This window comes from Homo sapiens, chromosome 12, assembly GCF_000001405.40.
Source record: "Homo sapiens chromosome 12, GRCh38.p14 Primary Assembly".
Taxonomy (NCBI): Eukaryota; Metazoa; Chordata; class Mammalia; order Primates; family Hominidae; genus Homo; species Homo sapiens.
In genome coordinates this window covers 9,828,863-9,845,752 of record NC_000012.12, presented here as the reverse complement: position 1 = coordinate 9,845,752, position 16,890 = coordinate 9,828,863, and the positions used below count along the sequence as shown (strand labels likewise).

General features: G+C 35.1%; 1 protein-coding gene across 10 annotated transcripts in view; it reads right to left on the bottom strand.

Annotated features, from left to right (window-relative positions):
• Positions 1 to 747: 747 nt before the first annotated feature.
• The window catches only part of KLRF1 (killer cell lectin like receptor F1), a 44,954-nt gene continuing 28,811 nt past the window's right edge, over positions 748 to 16,890 (bottom strand). For 2 of the 10 annotated variants that reach the window (NR_159359.1, NM_016523.3), the window contains exons 2-6: positions 13,339 to 13,437; positions 12,301 to 12,450; positions 3,802 to 3,941; positions 3,320 to 3,432; positions 748 to 1,335 (exon numbers count right to left, since the gene is read on the bottom strand). Coding sequence is in view for 6 of the 10 variants with exons in the window: in NM_016523.3 (NP_057607.1) it covers positions 1,227 to 1,335; positions 3,320 to 3,432; positions 3,802 to 3,941; positions 12,301 to 12,450; positions 13,339 to 13,437 (611 nt within the window). In the remaining 4 variants the exon portion in view is untranslated. Of the gene's footprint in view, positions 1,336 to 3,319; positions 3,452 to 3,801; positions 3,942 to 12,300; positions 12,492 to 13,338; positions 13,438 to 16,890 lie in introns of those variants that run through there. The other 8 variants (NR_159361.1, NR_159360.1, NM_001291822.2 and 5 more) reach the window with 8 other exon arrangements.

The window sequence follows — 16,890 nt, the reverse complement described above, 5'->3', positions numbered from 1 at the left end:
CAGAAAAGGCCCTCAACAAAATTCAACACCACTTCATGCTAAAAACTCTCAATAAACTAGGTATTGATGGAACGTATCTCAAAATAGTAAGAGCTATGTATGATAAACCCACAGCCAATATCATACTGAATGGGCAAAAACTGGAAGCATTCCGTTTGAAAACCGGCACAAGACAAGGATGCCCTCTCTCACCACTCCTATTCAACTAAGTATTGGAAGTTCTGGCCAGGGCAATCAGGCAAGAGAAAGCAATAAAAGGATATTCAAATAGTAAGATAGTAAGTCAAATTGTCCCTGTTTGCAGATGACATGATTGTATATTTAGAAAACACTATCATCTCAGCCCAAAATCTCCTTAAGCTGATAAGCAACTTCAGCAAAGTCTCAGGGTAAAAAATCAGGGTGCAAAAATCACAAGCATTCCTATACACCAATAACAGACAAACAGAGAGCCAAATCATGAGTGAACTCCCATTCACAATTGCTACGAAGAGAATAAAATACCTAGGAATCCAACTTACAAGGGATGTGAAGGACCTCTTCAAGGAGAATTACAAACCACTGCTCAAGGAAATAAGTATATTCTTTTTCTGCACCTAATATCTTCTTATAAGTTTGAAAGCTTCTAAATTTGGAAAGAAAAGTGCAACATATAAAAATTGTATAAAATATAAAACAACACATTTAACACTTTTACCTAGAAATACTACTTTTAGGGCTTCTATCATAGAAATAAAGGTGCTACTATTTAAGAAAACATTCAGGATGTTTATTGTAGCTGAGTGAAGAGTAGCAAAAGCCTGGAAACAAAGTTAATTCTCTTTGACAAAAGGGTAAAAAATGTATAAACCCACATTATAATTCAACCATTAGAAATATAAGAAATTTTGTTTAGGACCTTATTAAGAATTTAAAACGCAAGATACAGAAAAACAGGCATAATTTGATCACATTTGGCATAAAATAAGCGACGAATAAAAATCCTGGATATGATCACATGAAGTCACATTGGTTTATACTATCACGTAAAAATTTTGAAGTGTACATTTTAGTTTGTTAACAGGGGTTACTCTGAGGCTAGACCAGTGTCGATGATGGAGGGAGAAGGGAGAAGAGATTTTGGCATTTAATTGCACTTTAAAATCTTACACCTGGAGATTAATATTAGAAACTAATAGGCCAAAAATAGTGATCATTGATTATTTCACTGTGAATTTTGTCAAACTCTAATACTGACAAATCCATTTGAAAACACTGCTGCAGGTTTCAGAGAAAATTTTGCTTTCCTTAATGGCAGCACAGCTGTTTTCTTTAGCTGGTCCCTTTATGAAGAATCTAGGGAAGAGAGAATAAATACTTTGTTAATCACTGTAGCTGAAGACATCCATTTGTGTCTTCTGCTAATATCCTCTTTTAAATAAAAAAGTAATTCAAAATCTCAAAGCATTTTTACATACTTGGATTCACTAACGATTACAGTAACTGTAACTTAGCCTTGTTAGCTGTGGTTGGTCAAGAGTTGCCAGAGAGTCTGCAACTAACAGAAGTAAGAATAAATTTCCCTCCACATTCCCATTCTAGTATTCCTCCTCTTGCCCCATGTAGTTCAGTTAGATTAAAAATAAGATTAACTCCATGTGGACACCTCACTTAACAACCTCTCTTGCCTTCTTATATCTAATTGTATAAGAACGATAATAATACTTCATGATATTGTTTAGCAGTTATATGAATTGAGGTTTGTAAAGAACTCAATACACAAAACGAACTGTGCATGACCTAAATAATAAATTGCATATTTATTGCATTATTTACTTATAATGTAACATATTAAAAATATTAACAAATTTATGTATAAAATAATGTAGTGTTAGTGATACATTCTGATAAATTTGTTTGACCTGTGGAAAAAGTTCAAGAAAGAATCTTGGAAAAGGTGCACATGATCTTCAAAGCTTCCAAATTGATAAGGGCAAGTAAGTACTGAATTTTCATATTAGAAAATACACTTTGTCCGAGTTTAGTTTTAAATTTTGTATTGAACATATTATGGACAAAAATCTCCAAGCATGATCTAGACTTAAAACTCAACCCTAACGGGTAGTGATGAATGGATTTGGAATGAAGACAAAACCAAGTTGGGCAACTTCATGACGTTCAGTGACACAACTCTGCTCTCAGATGACACACATCCATAATTTTACACTGCATTCCAAATAATGTTTTTTATTCACTTTTTATATTGATTTAGTGCAGTCAGATAGAAAATATGTAATATTTAATGATGAATAGAAATAAGGGGAAAATAATACAATAACACCATTAAGTTGGTTACTATAATGTACTATTTTTCTATCACTACTATGACAAATTATCACAAATGTAGTGGCCTAAAACAAGGCTAATTTATTATCTTACACCTATGAGTATCAGAAGCCCAAGATTGCCCTACAGGGCTAAGATCAAAACGTCTGCAGAGTCACCTTCTGGATGTACTAGGCAGGAATCCGAGGCCACCTGCGTGCCTTGGCTCACAGACGTGATTTCACATCATATGAATCTCTGTGTTCCACTTCATATCTCCCAATATGACTCTAATTCTGCTTCCTCCCTCTTCTAAGGACCCTTGTGATTTAATTGGGGCCACCCAGATAATCCAGGATAATATCCCTATCTCGAGATTCCTCATTTAATCATACCTGCAAAGGCTCTTTTGCCATATAAAATAACACATTCACAGCATTTTGGAATTAGAATGTGGACATCTTTGGGGACCATTATCTTGCCTGCTAACATAGGAATAGGATTTTGAATTTATCTGTTTTACTGTTTATATTTTTAATTAAATATTTTATTATAAAATAATGCGCACAAAAATGTTGACAGAACTTTTAAAATCAATAATTCCATGCATTTGTTCAGAGACTTTTGGATAATCTTGTTCTATGTTGTATATACCATTTGTATTTTGACACTATGATAATCACATAACACAAAAAATGCACATTGGTTTTATTTTATTACTGAAGATGGCTAAAGAAAACATTGAGACCTTTAAAAATAAGAGACTGCATTCATTCAATCTACTTTTCTATATAAAGTGTGAGAAATTTTAAAATCATAAACCACCATTTTCAAATCCTTTTTCTTTAAAAGTCAAATCAAACTATCCATCATTACTCCTGTAAATACTAAATTAATTTTCATTCTTTTGAATTCTGTAGTACCAGTAACTATTTCAGAGTTGAATTTGGTGAACCTGGAGGAGACATATTCTACAATAAACAATAAATCAGATTGCCTTTTAAGAAAGACTCACATCTTTGAATCTATTGGAGAACCATCCACCCAAGTCCATGTCATTTTCAAGGAGGTAAAGTTAAGCCCAATCCATACGTAGTTTAATTGTCTTAGGTTTTTCTGTATAAAAGCCTAAAATGTGGACGAGGGACTAAATGAACAAAATATTTTAGCAATTCAGACACACTGAATATTTTAAATGTTATTGCAAAAAAGCACTCTGCATAGGGATTCTTATGGTAATCAATTCATATCTTACTTATACACACATTATATCATATATATGTTACACACACACACACACAATTGCAAGTTGAATATATGAATTTGGGCCAGATCTAGCATGAGAAGTGAGGCACTCACTTGGAATACAAAATTTAAGAGGGTGCCCAAAACTCGATAATCAAGGTAAATGATGATTTAATGCAAAGATGGAAAGATATTTGAGGAAAGCCATTTTTTACTGCAAAGATGCCATAACCCTGATACTAGACCAATTACCATTTCAAGTTGGTCATGTATGATTAGTAGATGAGATTTTCTTTCCAAACAATACACATAACTGTCACTCCAGCTTTTCATCTCATTAGAGAACCAATAACACTTCCCTTGGTATTTGAGCCATTCTGATTGGCATAGTACTACAGAGAAATGTAGAAAACAAAATGAAATTAAATTACATATGCATCTCTGAAAATTGGCCATAAGAACAATACTTACATGTTGTATAAATAAGAGTTGAGCTACAATAAAATCACTTATAGCAAATTGTCCAGACACAAAAGATGGCCAAAACACAAATAATGGTCCTTGGGAATTAAGACAATTAATTTAATGAGATGAAGCAAAACCTAGACATAATGGGATTTTTGATGCAAGATCTATTATATTGACTAAAATAGCATGAACAAAATAAAATAGCTATTTGAGAGATTAGATAAAATATAATTTGTATCACTTAGAATTTATCCACACAAAGGTTTTTTTTAACTTTTAAGTTCAGGGGTATACGTGCAGGTTTGTTACATAGGTAAATTTGTGTCATGGGGGTTTGATGTAGAGATTATTTCAACATCCAAGTAGCACCCAGTACCCATTAGTTATTTGTTCTGATCCTCTCCCTCCTCCCACCCTCCACCCTCAAGTAGGCCCCAGTGTGTGTTTTTTCCCTCTATGTGTCCATGTGTTCTCATCATTTAGCTCCCACTTGTAAGTGAGAACATGCAATGTTTGGCTTTCTGTTCCTGCATTAGTTTGCTAAGGATAATAGCCTCCAGCTCCATCCATGTTTCTGCAAAGAACATGATCTCATTCATTTTTATGGCTTCATAGTATTCCATGGTATGGAATGGTATGGTATATGTACCACATTTTCTTTATCCAGTCTACTATTGATGTGCATTTAGGTTGATTCCATGTTTTTCTATAGCGAATAGTGCTGCAATGAACATACACATGCATGTGTCTTTATAATAGAATGATTTACGTTCCTTTGGGTATATACCCAGTAATGGGATTGCGGGGTTGAAGGGTATTTCTGCCTTTAGGTCTTTGAGGAATTGCCACACAGTCTCCCATAACGGCTGAACAAATTTACGCTTCCACCACCAGTGTATAAGCATTCCTTTTTCTCCACACCCTCACCAGCACGTTATTCTTTGACTTTTTAATAATAGCCATTCTGACTGGTGTGAGTTAGTACCTCATCGTCGTTAACATCACTGATCATTACAGGAAATGCAAGTAAAAACCACACAAAGTTTTAAAATCGCTCTCCTTGTAGTTTTGTATGTGTATCCCTTTCTCCCTCTTAATATTAATTAATGATTAAATGATTAAATTATGTCAAGAATAACAATTTATTTTCAACTTCTTTATTTTCAACCTCTTAATAACTGAAATATTATGAAGTTCTTTGATTTTCCTAGCTTAATATTAAGGTAAATTAAATTAAATGGAAAATATCGAGATTTTTGGCATAGTATTGAGAAAAAGTGAGATATATATAAAAATATATGTAAAGGCCAATATAACTATTTTAACTTATGGCCCATTACAATCTGTCTCTTTTTATTTATTTTTTATCGTGATTATTTTTCTTCACGTAACATAAAATTCACCATTTTAGCCATTTTAAAGTGCAAGTGCTGTGGCTTTTAATACACCCACAATGTTGTACAACTATCACTACTATCTCATTCTAGAACATTTTCATTACATATAAACACTAAGTAGTCACTATTCATCTTCTACTCCCCCAGCGCTGGCAACCACTAGCCTGCTTTATGTCACTGTGGATTTAACTATGATGGACCTTTCATATAAATGGAATCATACAATATGTGGCCTTTTGTATCTGGCTTTTTCATTCATTCAGCACAATGTTTTCAAGGTTCATAAAAGTTGTAGCATGTATCAGTACTACATTCTATTTTATGGTTGTAAGAATATTTCATAACATGTATGTAGTGCATTTTGTTTATCTCTTCATCAGCTGATGGACATCTGAGCTGCTTCCATTCTTTGGCTATTATGAATATTGTTACAATGAACATTCATGTACAAATTTTTGTAAGGACATATGTCTTCCATTTTATTAAATATATACCTAAAAGTTGAATGTTGGGTCATGTGATAATTTGAGGAACTGTCAAACTGTTTTCCACAGTACTATAAAATTTTACATTTCTACCAGAAATATGTGAGCAATTTCTCCACATCCTCACCAACACTTGCTCTTTTTGTGTGATTATAGCCATCCTGGAGGGTGTGCAGTGGCTTTCCACCCTGGTTTTGATTTCATATTTCCCTAATGAATGATCATATTAAACATCTCTTCAAGTGCTTATTGGCCTTTTGTATAGTGTTTTTTGGAGAAATGTCTATCCATTTTTAAATGTTCATTTTTAAACTGGGTTGTGTTTTTGAGTTATAAGTGTTCTTTCTATGTTCTGAATATAATACTCCTATCTGATATCTTTCTCTTTTGGTGTGTTGTCTTTTCCATTTGACATGTTAGAACGACATGAATTTTGGGAATTCAGAGGTAAAACTTTATGAACTGAATGTTTGCATACCCCAAAATACATATGCTGAAATCCTGCCTCCCAATATGATGGTATTAGGAGGTGGGCATTTGGGAGCTAAGAACAGATGATCAGAATGGGATTAGTACTCGTAAGAGTCCTGAGATAACTTGAGTCATTCTGCGATCTGCCATGAGAGATTACAATGAGAAGCTGGCAGTCTGCAACAGAGAAGAGGGCCCTCACCAGAACCCAACCACGCTGGCACCATGATCTCAGTCTTCCAGTCTTTAGAACTGTGAGGAATAAATATCTGTTGTTCATAAGCAACCTAGTTTATGGTAATTAGCTGTGGCACCCCAAACTGAGTAAGGCCCATCCACATGGCCTCATCTAAATCTAATTACTTTCTAAAGACCCCGTCTCCAAATCCCATCACATTTGGGAATTAAAGTTTTAATATATAAATTAGGGGGAGGGCACAATTCAGTTCATAGCAGCAACCAAGTAAATGTGAAGGCAAATTGTGATTGATTCTCCTGAAAAATGTGTACTAAATAAAACATGTTAGCTAAGTCTGTACCCAAACTATTTACCCATGTTTTGAAGGTCATTCATTAAAGCAATTATCCAATAGAGGTGCTCTAATAAAAGGAATAATTTTTCTTAACTCCCTGTAGTCTATAGTTAGCCTTCACTCTCTAGTAGTGGCTTTAAACATAGGCCACACCAGGAAGTTAAAAGGCAACATGGTAAAAAATAGAATTCCTTTGACAAAGTCAGCTATAACAGACCACAATCCTGCAGTTCTTTGCCTTGGTTGGTATCTTGGAGCATTTACCACTCACACTGGCAGGGAAGATTGACTGTTTTCCACTACGTGGTGCCCGCCAATAGTGTAAAAGCTTTCCATGAGATCACGTGCTGACTGAGAAGGTCCATTTCAAGGATGAACAAAGGAATAGTCTTGGGGGACAACCGGGATGAAAGCATCTTTTAGCAAAATGGGGCCAATTTTAATAGTTGAGCAGGGAATTGCCTCTTTAATTTACCCTTCCTCAAAGCTATTCACCCCCCCAGAAAAATCACTTTAACTTATGAGTGCTTCCTGGAATAAGAGGAATTTGGGCATTCATGTCTAAAAGTCAGTCAGAGCCAGTCAAAGTTGTTTATTTTTTGAAGACTCAACCTCAATTAATATGGTAAAAGAGTGGATGTCTACTAGAAGAGGCCTGCTTGCATGCTCACCATATCCCTATGTGGGAGCAGGATCCTGCCGTTCATGGATACAGAGGGAGGTGCAGAAGGAAAGATTGCCTCCAGAAGCTAAGGAGTAGACTGGCACTGTTGTCATGTAACCCTAGTAAGTATTGTAATTGTTTCACCAATTTACCGGAGATTATCCAACCTGGGACCCACTTGTCTTTTGGGGTCCGATATAAACTCTCTTGTTCTCAGGGCTCACCCTGAAGCAGGGGCCTGGCTGTAGGTGGTTTGTTTGGCCTAGCAAAGAGGTGGCCTTGCTATCAGTAGTAATTTTGATTCAAGTCAGGTGAGGTGTTATTTGTAGAATTAGCAGACAACATGTAACTGAGTTTGTTTTTCATGAGTTTCTATGAAATCCAGAGCACCTATGGACTCTTGAATTGTTTTAGCAGTAGATATCACTGCCAGTAAAGAAGACTTAGATATCTGCCTTGAGGCTACCAAACGATGTTTGTAAAAGTTAAGTTGAATGTGTTAGCTTTTGTCACATGAGGCAAGGTATAACAGTTGGAACAAACAATAGGACTGACTGAAAAGCTTGAGAGGAAAAGCCGGGGAATGAGCTGTTTCATGAATAAGGACTTTGGAAAGCTCCCACATAATCCTGAAAATCTGGAAGGCCAGGCACAAGCCCTGAGCTGGATGCATGCTCAGAAATTACCTGAAAAGGTCCTAAGATCTCACCTTTGGCTGACCTTTAAGCTCTGCACACACAAACATTGTGCATATCTATATTTACAGATATACATAAAACTATAAATATTTATAGATATAGAGATACATATAAATATATATGTATTTATAGATATAGAGATACATATAAGTATATATGTATCTATATTTATAGATATACATGCACAATGGACTATTATTCACCCATAAAAAGGAATAAAATGTGGATGAACTTTAAAAACATTATGCTAAGTGAAAGAAGCCCAAGGCCAAATATTGTGTGATTCTATTCCATGAAAATCCAGAATAGGTAAATCCATATAGACCGAAAGAAGATTTGTAGTTGTCAGAGGCTAAGGGGAGAGAGAATGGAGAGTGATTTGCTTGTTGGGTATGTAAGGGATTTATTTTTGGGAAAAGTTTTTCAACTAGATAAACATGGTAGTTCACAACGTTTGAAGGTTCTAAACATCATGAAATTGTTTACTTTTAAAGGTTCAAATTTTGAATTGTACCTCAGCTAAGAAAAGGAATAGGAAATAAATATATTGTAGCTCAATATACAGTATTTATACCTACTTTAATTAATGTTTACTGCCATGTACATGATTCCATGTTTACCTACCAAAGCCGCCTTAATTTTTCTAAGGTGTCATTGCAATGATACCCAACACAGTGACAGACATTACAGATAGGGAGACAATAAAATATGAGGTAAAGCTACAATATCTATTAGTTTGGGAAATATACCTGTAAAACAGACAGATAAGCCAAATGAAGACAGTGTCAATAAGTAGAACATAAAATATATAAAATTTTCACGTATGATAAAGGAGGAAATACGAACTAGTAGATTAGAAAAAAATCCTTTTATAATAATTATACATTTATCTGGAAAGTCATAATATATCATCTCATACAATAAAACAAATGTCAAAATGATCAGTTAAGTATCAAAAAGTTAAACTTAAAAGTAAAGAATAGAACTTCATCAGGGTGGAAGTATTGGAGGGTCCCCTGCCAGCAAAGATCACCTATCCACTCTAAGAGGGAGTTAAGACTGGCGGTTTGGGGATAGCACCAAGAGATATCAGCTGTGATGGCTTGGAAAAACAGTGTAAACCGGCAGTGTAAACAAGAGTAGGGCATTTATAAGTAGTTGAGAATGGTGAATAGGAGTATGACTAGACAGAAGATAGTAGGGATGACTAGTTTTTGGGGCTCGGTCCAAGTAGTGGGGGTAACTTCGTAAAGCCCTGTTGCAAAAAGTAGGGTAAGGACAAACAGACCTAATAGAATGAAGGGATCATTCCCATTCTTATGTCACCCTCTACCTCTCCCCAGCTATCTCCACCACACTACCAACGTTACTTATTCTCTCCTAGCCATTTCTAATCTCTCCTTATTGAACAACTGCTGGCTTTGCATTTCCCTTTCTTCCAGCGCCTACACAGCTGCCCCCACCTTACATGTAGACTGGGCAACATCTGTCTCCCTATACCTCTGAACTTCCTTTAACAGCCCTCACCTTTACCCTCCTGAAGAACTCATTTACTTTCTAGACAGGTCCAGCAAGACCTCCCCAGACATTTCATATCAGCAAGCTGCCGCCCTCCTCCACACTTACTTAAAAAACCTTTCTCCTTATATCAACTCTACTCCCCCCATATTTGGACCTCTCACAACACAAACTACTATTCCTATTCCTGTGGCCACTCCTTTATGTATCTCTCGGCAAAGACCCACTGGAATTCCCCTAGTAACCCTTCACCTTCTCCATGTTCCTTTACTCTTCATCTCCAAAGTCCAGCTATGCATGTCACCGAAACAATTGGAGCCTTCCAGCTCCGTATTACAGAAAAGCCCTCTATCAATACTGGCAAACTTAAAAATATTAGCAGTAATTATTGCTTAGGAAGACACTTACCCTGTATTTCACTCCATCCTCGGCTACCTTCCCCTTGCTCATCAGACCCTCCTCCCAGGCCCTCTTCTTGTTTACTTATACCCAGCCCCGAAAATAACAGTGAAAGGTAGCTCATAGACACTCAACATTTTCTCATATACCATGAAAATCGAACCTCCCCCTCTACGCAGTTACCCCACCAGTCCCCATTACAACCTCTGGTGGCTGCCGCCCTAGCTGGATCCCCAGGAGTCTGGGTACAAGACACCCCTTTCAGCACTCCTCATCTTTTTACTTTGCATCTCCAGTTTTGCCTCGCACAAGGTCTCTTCTTCCTCTGTGGATCCTCTACCTCCATGTGTCTACCTGCTAATTGGACAGGTACATGCACACTAGTTTTCCTTACTCCCAAAATTCAATTTGCAAATAGGACCGAAGAGCTCCCTGTTCCCCTCATGACACCAACACGACAAAAAAGAGTTATTCCACTAATTCCCTTGCTTGTTGGTTTAGGACTTTCTGCCTCCACTATTGCTCTCGGTACTGGAATAGGAGGCATTTCAACCTCTGTCACGACCTTCCATAGCCTCTCTAGTGTCTTCTCTGCTAGCATCACAGACATATCACAAACTTTATCAGTCCTCCAGGCCCAAGTTGACTCTTTAGCTGCAGTTATCCTCCAAAACCACCGAGGCCTTGACTTACTCACTGCTGAAAAAGGAGGACTCTGTATATTCTTAAATGAAGAGTGTTGTTTTTACCTAAATCAATCTGGCCTGGTGTATGACAACATAAGAAAACTCAAGGATAGGGTCCAAAAACTTGCCAACCAAGCAAGTAATTATGCTGAACGCCCTTGGACACTCTCTAATTGGATGTACTGGGTCCTCCCAATTCTTAGTCCTTTAATACCTATTTTTCTCCTTCTTTTATTCGGACCTTGTATCTGCCGTTTAGTTTCTCAATTCATCCAAAACCGTATCCAGGCCATCACCAATCATTCTATACAACAAATGCTCCTTCCAACAACCCCACAATATCACCCCTTACCACAAAATCCTCCTGCAAGTTGACCTCTCCCACTCTAGGTTCCCACGCCACACCTAATCCCGCTCGAAGAAGCCCTGAGAAACATCGCCCATTATCTCTCCATGCTACCCCCCGCACCCAAATTTTTTTTTCGCTGCCCCAACACTTCAATACTATTTTATGTTATTTTTCTTATTACTGTAAGAAGGCAGGACTGTCAGGCCTCTGAGCCCAAGCTAAGCCATCGCATCCCCTGTGACCTGAACGTATATACGCCCAGATGGCCTGAAGTAACTGAAGAATCACAAAAGAAGTGAAAATGGCTTGTTCCTGTCTTAACTGATGACATTCCACCATAAAAGAAGTGAAAATGGCCAGTCCTTGCCTTAACTGATGGCATTACCTTGTGAAAGTCCTTCTCCTGGCTCATCGTGGCTCAAAAAGCTCCCCCACTGAGCACCTTGTGACCCCCACTCCTGCCTGCCAGAGAATTACCCTCTTCGACTGTAATTTTCCTTTACCTACCCAAATCCTATAAAACGGCCTCACCCCTATCTCCCCTTCGCTGACTCTTCTTTTCGGACTCAGCCCGCCTGCACCCAGGTGAAATAAACAGCCTTGTTGCTCAAAAAAAAAAAAAAAAAAAAAAAAAGTTAAACATTTAAAAATAGAAGGTAATGTTTTCAAAATTCTGTATGACTGGAATTTCTAAGCTTAAAAGTCTAAGCTTAAAATCATAATGAATAATTTTTAAAATATTGACTTTTATCCAGTCTGTATTTCAGAAAAAGAAGAATAAATAAGTGACAAACAAGAATGGCTATTTACATACTGCTTTTTAATAACAACTAACTTTCCATATTTATATGTATCAACTGGATTTTAAATTCCTGGAGGGCAGAGCCTATTTCTTGTGTTGTTTTACCATTTTCTCCCACTGCAACAAGTTTAAAGATACCTAAATCGAGTTTTGAATGAAAAGTAGACTTATACCAAACTTTTACTTGTTACTTTAATCTATTGCATACCTGTTCAAAAATACTTCACATTTAGAGAGTCCAAAAGATTAAAACTAGGATAAGCCAAAGCCTTGAGACATACCTGTCTGGTCTGCAGATCTCGAAGCACAAAGGTCCTTATTACTTATATTTCTTCTTGTGCCATTATTCACTTTTAGATCTCCAGTGTCCTCATACTGAGTGGCATTTGAACAACTTCCTTTTTGGCATTTTAGCAATACTCCCTGAGAAACTTGAATACAGGACTATTTTAAGGTTAGGTAAATATCTTCTCTATGGAATGTTTCAGGGACACATTCAATGGAATGATTCCGATGATTGGAACAAGAAATAATTGAAACGGTCACTAGGATCTTTTTAAAATTTTCATGTCTACTGATGGAAAGAATTCAAAATATTATACAATCAATTCATTTATACAACACATATTTGGTGAGAATCTATTCTATGCCAGGCATTCCTACGAACTGGTAATACAATAATAAATAAAGCCAAGTTTCTGCTCTGGGAAGTATATAGGCTCTTTTCATCCTTTCTTAATGTTTTTCTGCAGCCTCCAACACTGTAGTCAGAACATTGTACCATAATTACTTAGTACCTGCTTCTCCCACTAGAATATCACATTCCTCACCCTGACTATTCTTTTCTTAAAAATTTTGGGGAATTTGTAATATTTGGAGTATTGTAGCTGCTCGGTGAATATTTGCTGGACAAAAGGAAAAGCAAACTAAATGCAACCTTAGATAAAATGTATTAAAATATTTAAGCAAAACAGTAAAATTTTATCTATTAAAGTATCCAAGAAACACAGAAAAACTGTTTCAAATACCACACATACACACACATACACACACACACACACACACACACACACACACTCTACACATACACTCCTTTCTCCGTATTAGACTGTATGCCACTTGAGGGCAAGATACTTACCTGATTTGACTGCATATTAAATATAGCACTGTGGAGTGTACTAATAGAGCTTTACATGCAGTAGCTTCTAATTCAATCTTGGTTAATGTAGTGAAGAATGAATGAATAATTATAAAAAGATTTATAAGAGACAAGTAAACATCTTTCATATTTTTATTTAATTAAGATCTTCTAAACTTACCCAACAGGATCAAGGAGATCAAAGTCAAAGTGAGAATACCATTCACGGTTCCAGATATTCCCAGTAAGATTTTATACCAGTGCAACGTCACTGAATAATCTGAGACATTAATCACATGAATTAGTTTAGAAAAGTATGCTTCCAGGAAGTAATACAATAGCAATTGTAATAATAGGATTGTATAAAATATTAGTTTTGGTTTCAAAAGATATTAGGCAATCAAAAGCATGAAGGCTAAGTAAATAGAAAAATATATACATTTATTTAACAATGATAACACTCTGGATGGTCAGAAGCTATGATACGTGTCATATCAAATCTGAAGAAATTGCTAATATTTAACATTATTAATTTGTAGAAAGAATTTTACTCTATGCACTGAATAATTTTCCAACCATTGCGGAGACACACGCACTCATGAACATGCACATGCATTTACAGATAATACATGTGTATCCACATAAACACTTTCTGATTAATCATTAATATAACATTTACAAGTCCTTTGAGCCTTTTTTATTTACTAAGGATGAATCAGAACTAAATATGGCTTTAGGTATCCTGCTATTTTAATCAAAAAAACCCTAAAATCCTTTGTAAGTCATGAATAATATTTCATCTTCTTATTAAATGCTAAACTTTTAAGAACTGTTTTATTTTTCATAGACTTACACTGTCAGGTTTAAGATAAGAGTGCTTGTTCAATGATTATTATTCAAGAAACTGCTATCATTGGACAGACAGTAGAGAGTCTCATCCAGAGGATTTAGGTCTGCTGGGCACTGACTTACGAAATTACATGAATAATTATGTTATACTGAATAAGTGAATATCTATACTTTGTGAAACATTTTGTCCTTATCAAAGATAATTTATGTAAATCTATCATAATAATTGATAAGAATCCTCTATTGTAACCGAAATTATTCTTATTGTTCAGTCAATAAATTGAATTATTAATGCTGAAATTTATATTCTAAATACTCTTTAAACCTGAGAAAATAGAGAAACTACATTTGACGCTGTCAAGCCCTGTCAAGAAAGCACATGATGAACCCTATAGAATGATATTTTAGATAAATAGTTCGCAGGGTTTCTCTTATCATAACATTGTCAAAGATATTAAAATAATTTTATCAGAATTCATTTAATGAATACTCCACATTTCTGAGATTATTTTTGAATTTTTGATATATTAATATTGATAAGCAATAAATTCCAAGAAATCAAGCATGTGTCTTAAAAAAGTCATATATTTATTTTAAAACTTAAAAAATAATTATCAGAAAACATTAGGAAAAAAAGTTGTGGAAGGTGGTTGAAATTCAACTCAGACTGAATTATTTCTCCTAAGCACTACAGGTTGTAGTGAGCTGAGATCGCGCCACTGCACTCCAGCCTGGGCGACAGAGCGAGACTCCATCTCAAAAAAATAATAATAAAATAAAAATAAAAGTAAAAAAAAATTTTAAAAGATGCTGAATAATGGAGAAAGTAAAACTTTCATTATCCTGTGTTTTCTCCTATAAGGAAATGGTTTAATTTAACTTATAAAGGTTAAAACACAAGCCTTTTAACCACCCAAAACCAGAAATAATAAAATGGAAAACCAAAATCAGTCTTATGAATGTCTGTACAAAAATGGTAAATACATTATCAGCAACCAAAATATATTATAACCATGATTGGTTTATTCTAGGAATATAAAGATTATTCAATAGGAGGAAATCCATATTAATATTATATTAATAAAGCTAAGGAAAAAAATCTATCATCATCTCAATAGATGTAAAAAATGAAATTGATAAAATCTTATATCTTTATGTTAAAAAACAGAAATTAATAGATACTTGTTCAACATAATAGTTTTATGTCTAATGAAGCTAACATCTTATTCAATTGAGAAAACTGAAAGAAGGTTTTCTGCTTAAGTCCAGAAAAAGAAAGATAGCTCAAATCTCCACTACTTTTTAATACGAAGAGGTAATATATAATTCAATGAAGAAAAATATTCTAATTACAGGTAGAAATATTAGAAAAAGAAGGTAAAATTATTTGAAGGTAATGTGAGTGCAGATTTGGTAAAATAAAAGAATCAATTGAAAAACTACCGTTAATTCCAGAAACAAAAAATAGTAGCTGCATTTATAAAAATAACATACTAAAATCAGTGCCCTGTATAATCCAGTAACCACTGTGAAAACATAGATGAAAGAAATTCATTACTCACGGATAGTTAACCAAAAAAAACAAACAAAAAGAAAACTAGACAGAAACTCGACAAGTGTCCCAACCCAATACAAACAAAACAAAACAAAACTAACCGAAAACTGAGTAACATTAATTTGATCATGTGCTTGGATAAGAAAACTATGTGTCAAAAATATAAATTCTCCCTAAGCTTAATGACAGACTAGGAAGTAATTTAGACGTAAAAGCTACATCGGGTTGTTTTATTTGTTGTTGTTTGTGGTGAGTGAGCCTGAATAATTTTTTATAAAGTTATCTGAAAGAACAAAAGAGTGAGAATAGCTAAGTAAACACTGGAAATATAGAAATACAAAATGGTAAATTTTATGAAGGGTGCTGGATTTATGCAAGGTGGATTTCTCTGAAAGTAATTTTTTAAACTTTTTAAATTCTTATTTATTTATTTGAGACAGGGTCTCGCTCTGTTGCTCAGGTTGGAGTGCAGTGGCACCATTAGAGCTCTTTGTAACCTTGAGCTCCTGGGCTCAGAGATCCTCCCTCCTGAGCACCCTGTGTAGCTAGGACTACAGGCATGTGCCACCATGACTGATTAATTTTTTTATCTCTATTGTTTGTAGAGATGGGGGTCTTGATTTGTTGCCCAGGCAGGTCTTGAACTCCTGGCCTCAAGCGATCATCCTGCCTCGGCCTTCCAAAGTGCTGGGATTAATGGCATGAGCCACCACACTTGGCCCCTCATTATATAAGTTTGACTGAAAATATGTAAATGTTTTATGCTACTATAAAGTAAGTTAAACAAAAATGAAAAAAAATCCATAAAAAATGAAGAAAAGGAATCTAACTAGGTATTGTTAGTGTCTTCACTATAGAGAGAGGAATTACTTAAAGTGATTTTAAAACATTTAACTGTGCATGCTCAATGGAATATATCTTAAGGATTTTTTAAAACCGCAAAACATTTTAATCTGTTTTAAGTAACTATTATTATAATATTATTTCTATAGTGATTCTGAAACTACTACATATGTATAGTGGGATAGAGCAATTATGTAATTTCTTACTATCACTGGCAACAAAGGTTTTTCAATATATGAGAAAAGATTTACAAATATGTCATCACAAAATTAAGTTAAATGAATGAACATCATAACCCCAAGGCTCACATTGTCAATCTAATTCACATAAAATACGTCTTACCTCAAGCTTTAATAAATATTAGCTAAAGGTACAAGACATAAATATTAGTATGTGTCACTTAAATATCTGGGAGCCGAAAATCTGCACATTTTTGCTTCAGAGAGACATTTATGAACAGAGTGTGGAAAAAAGTCTGCAGAGAAG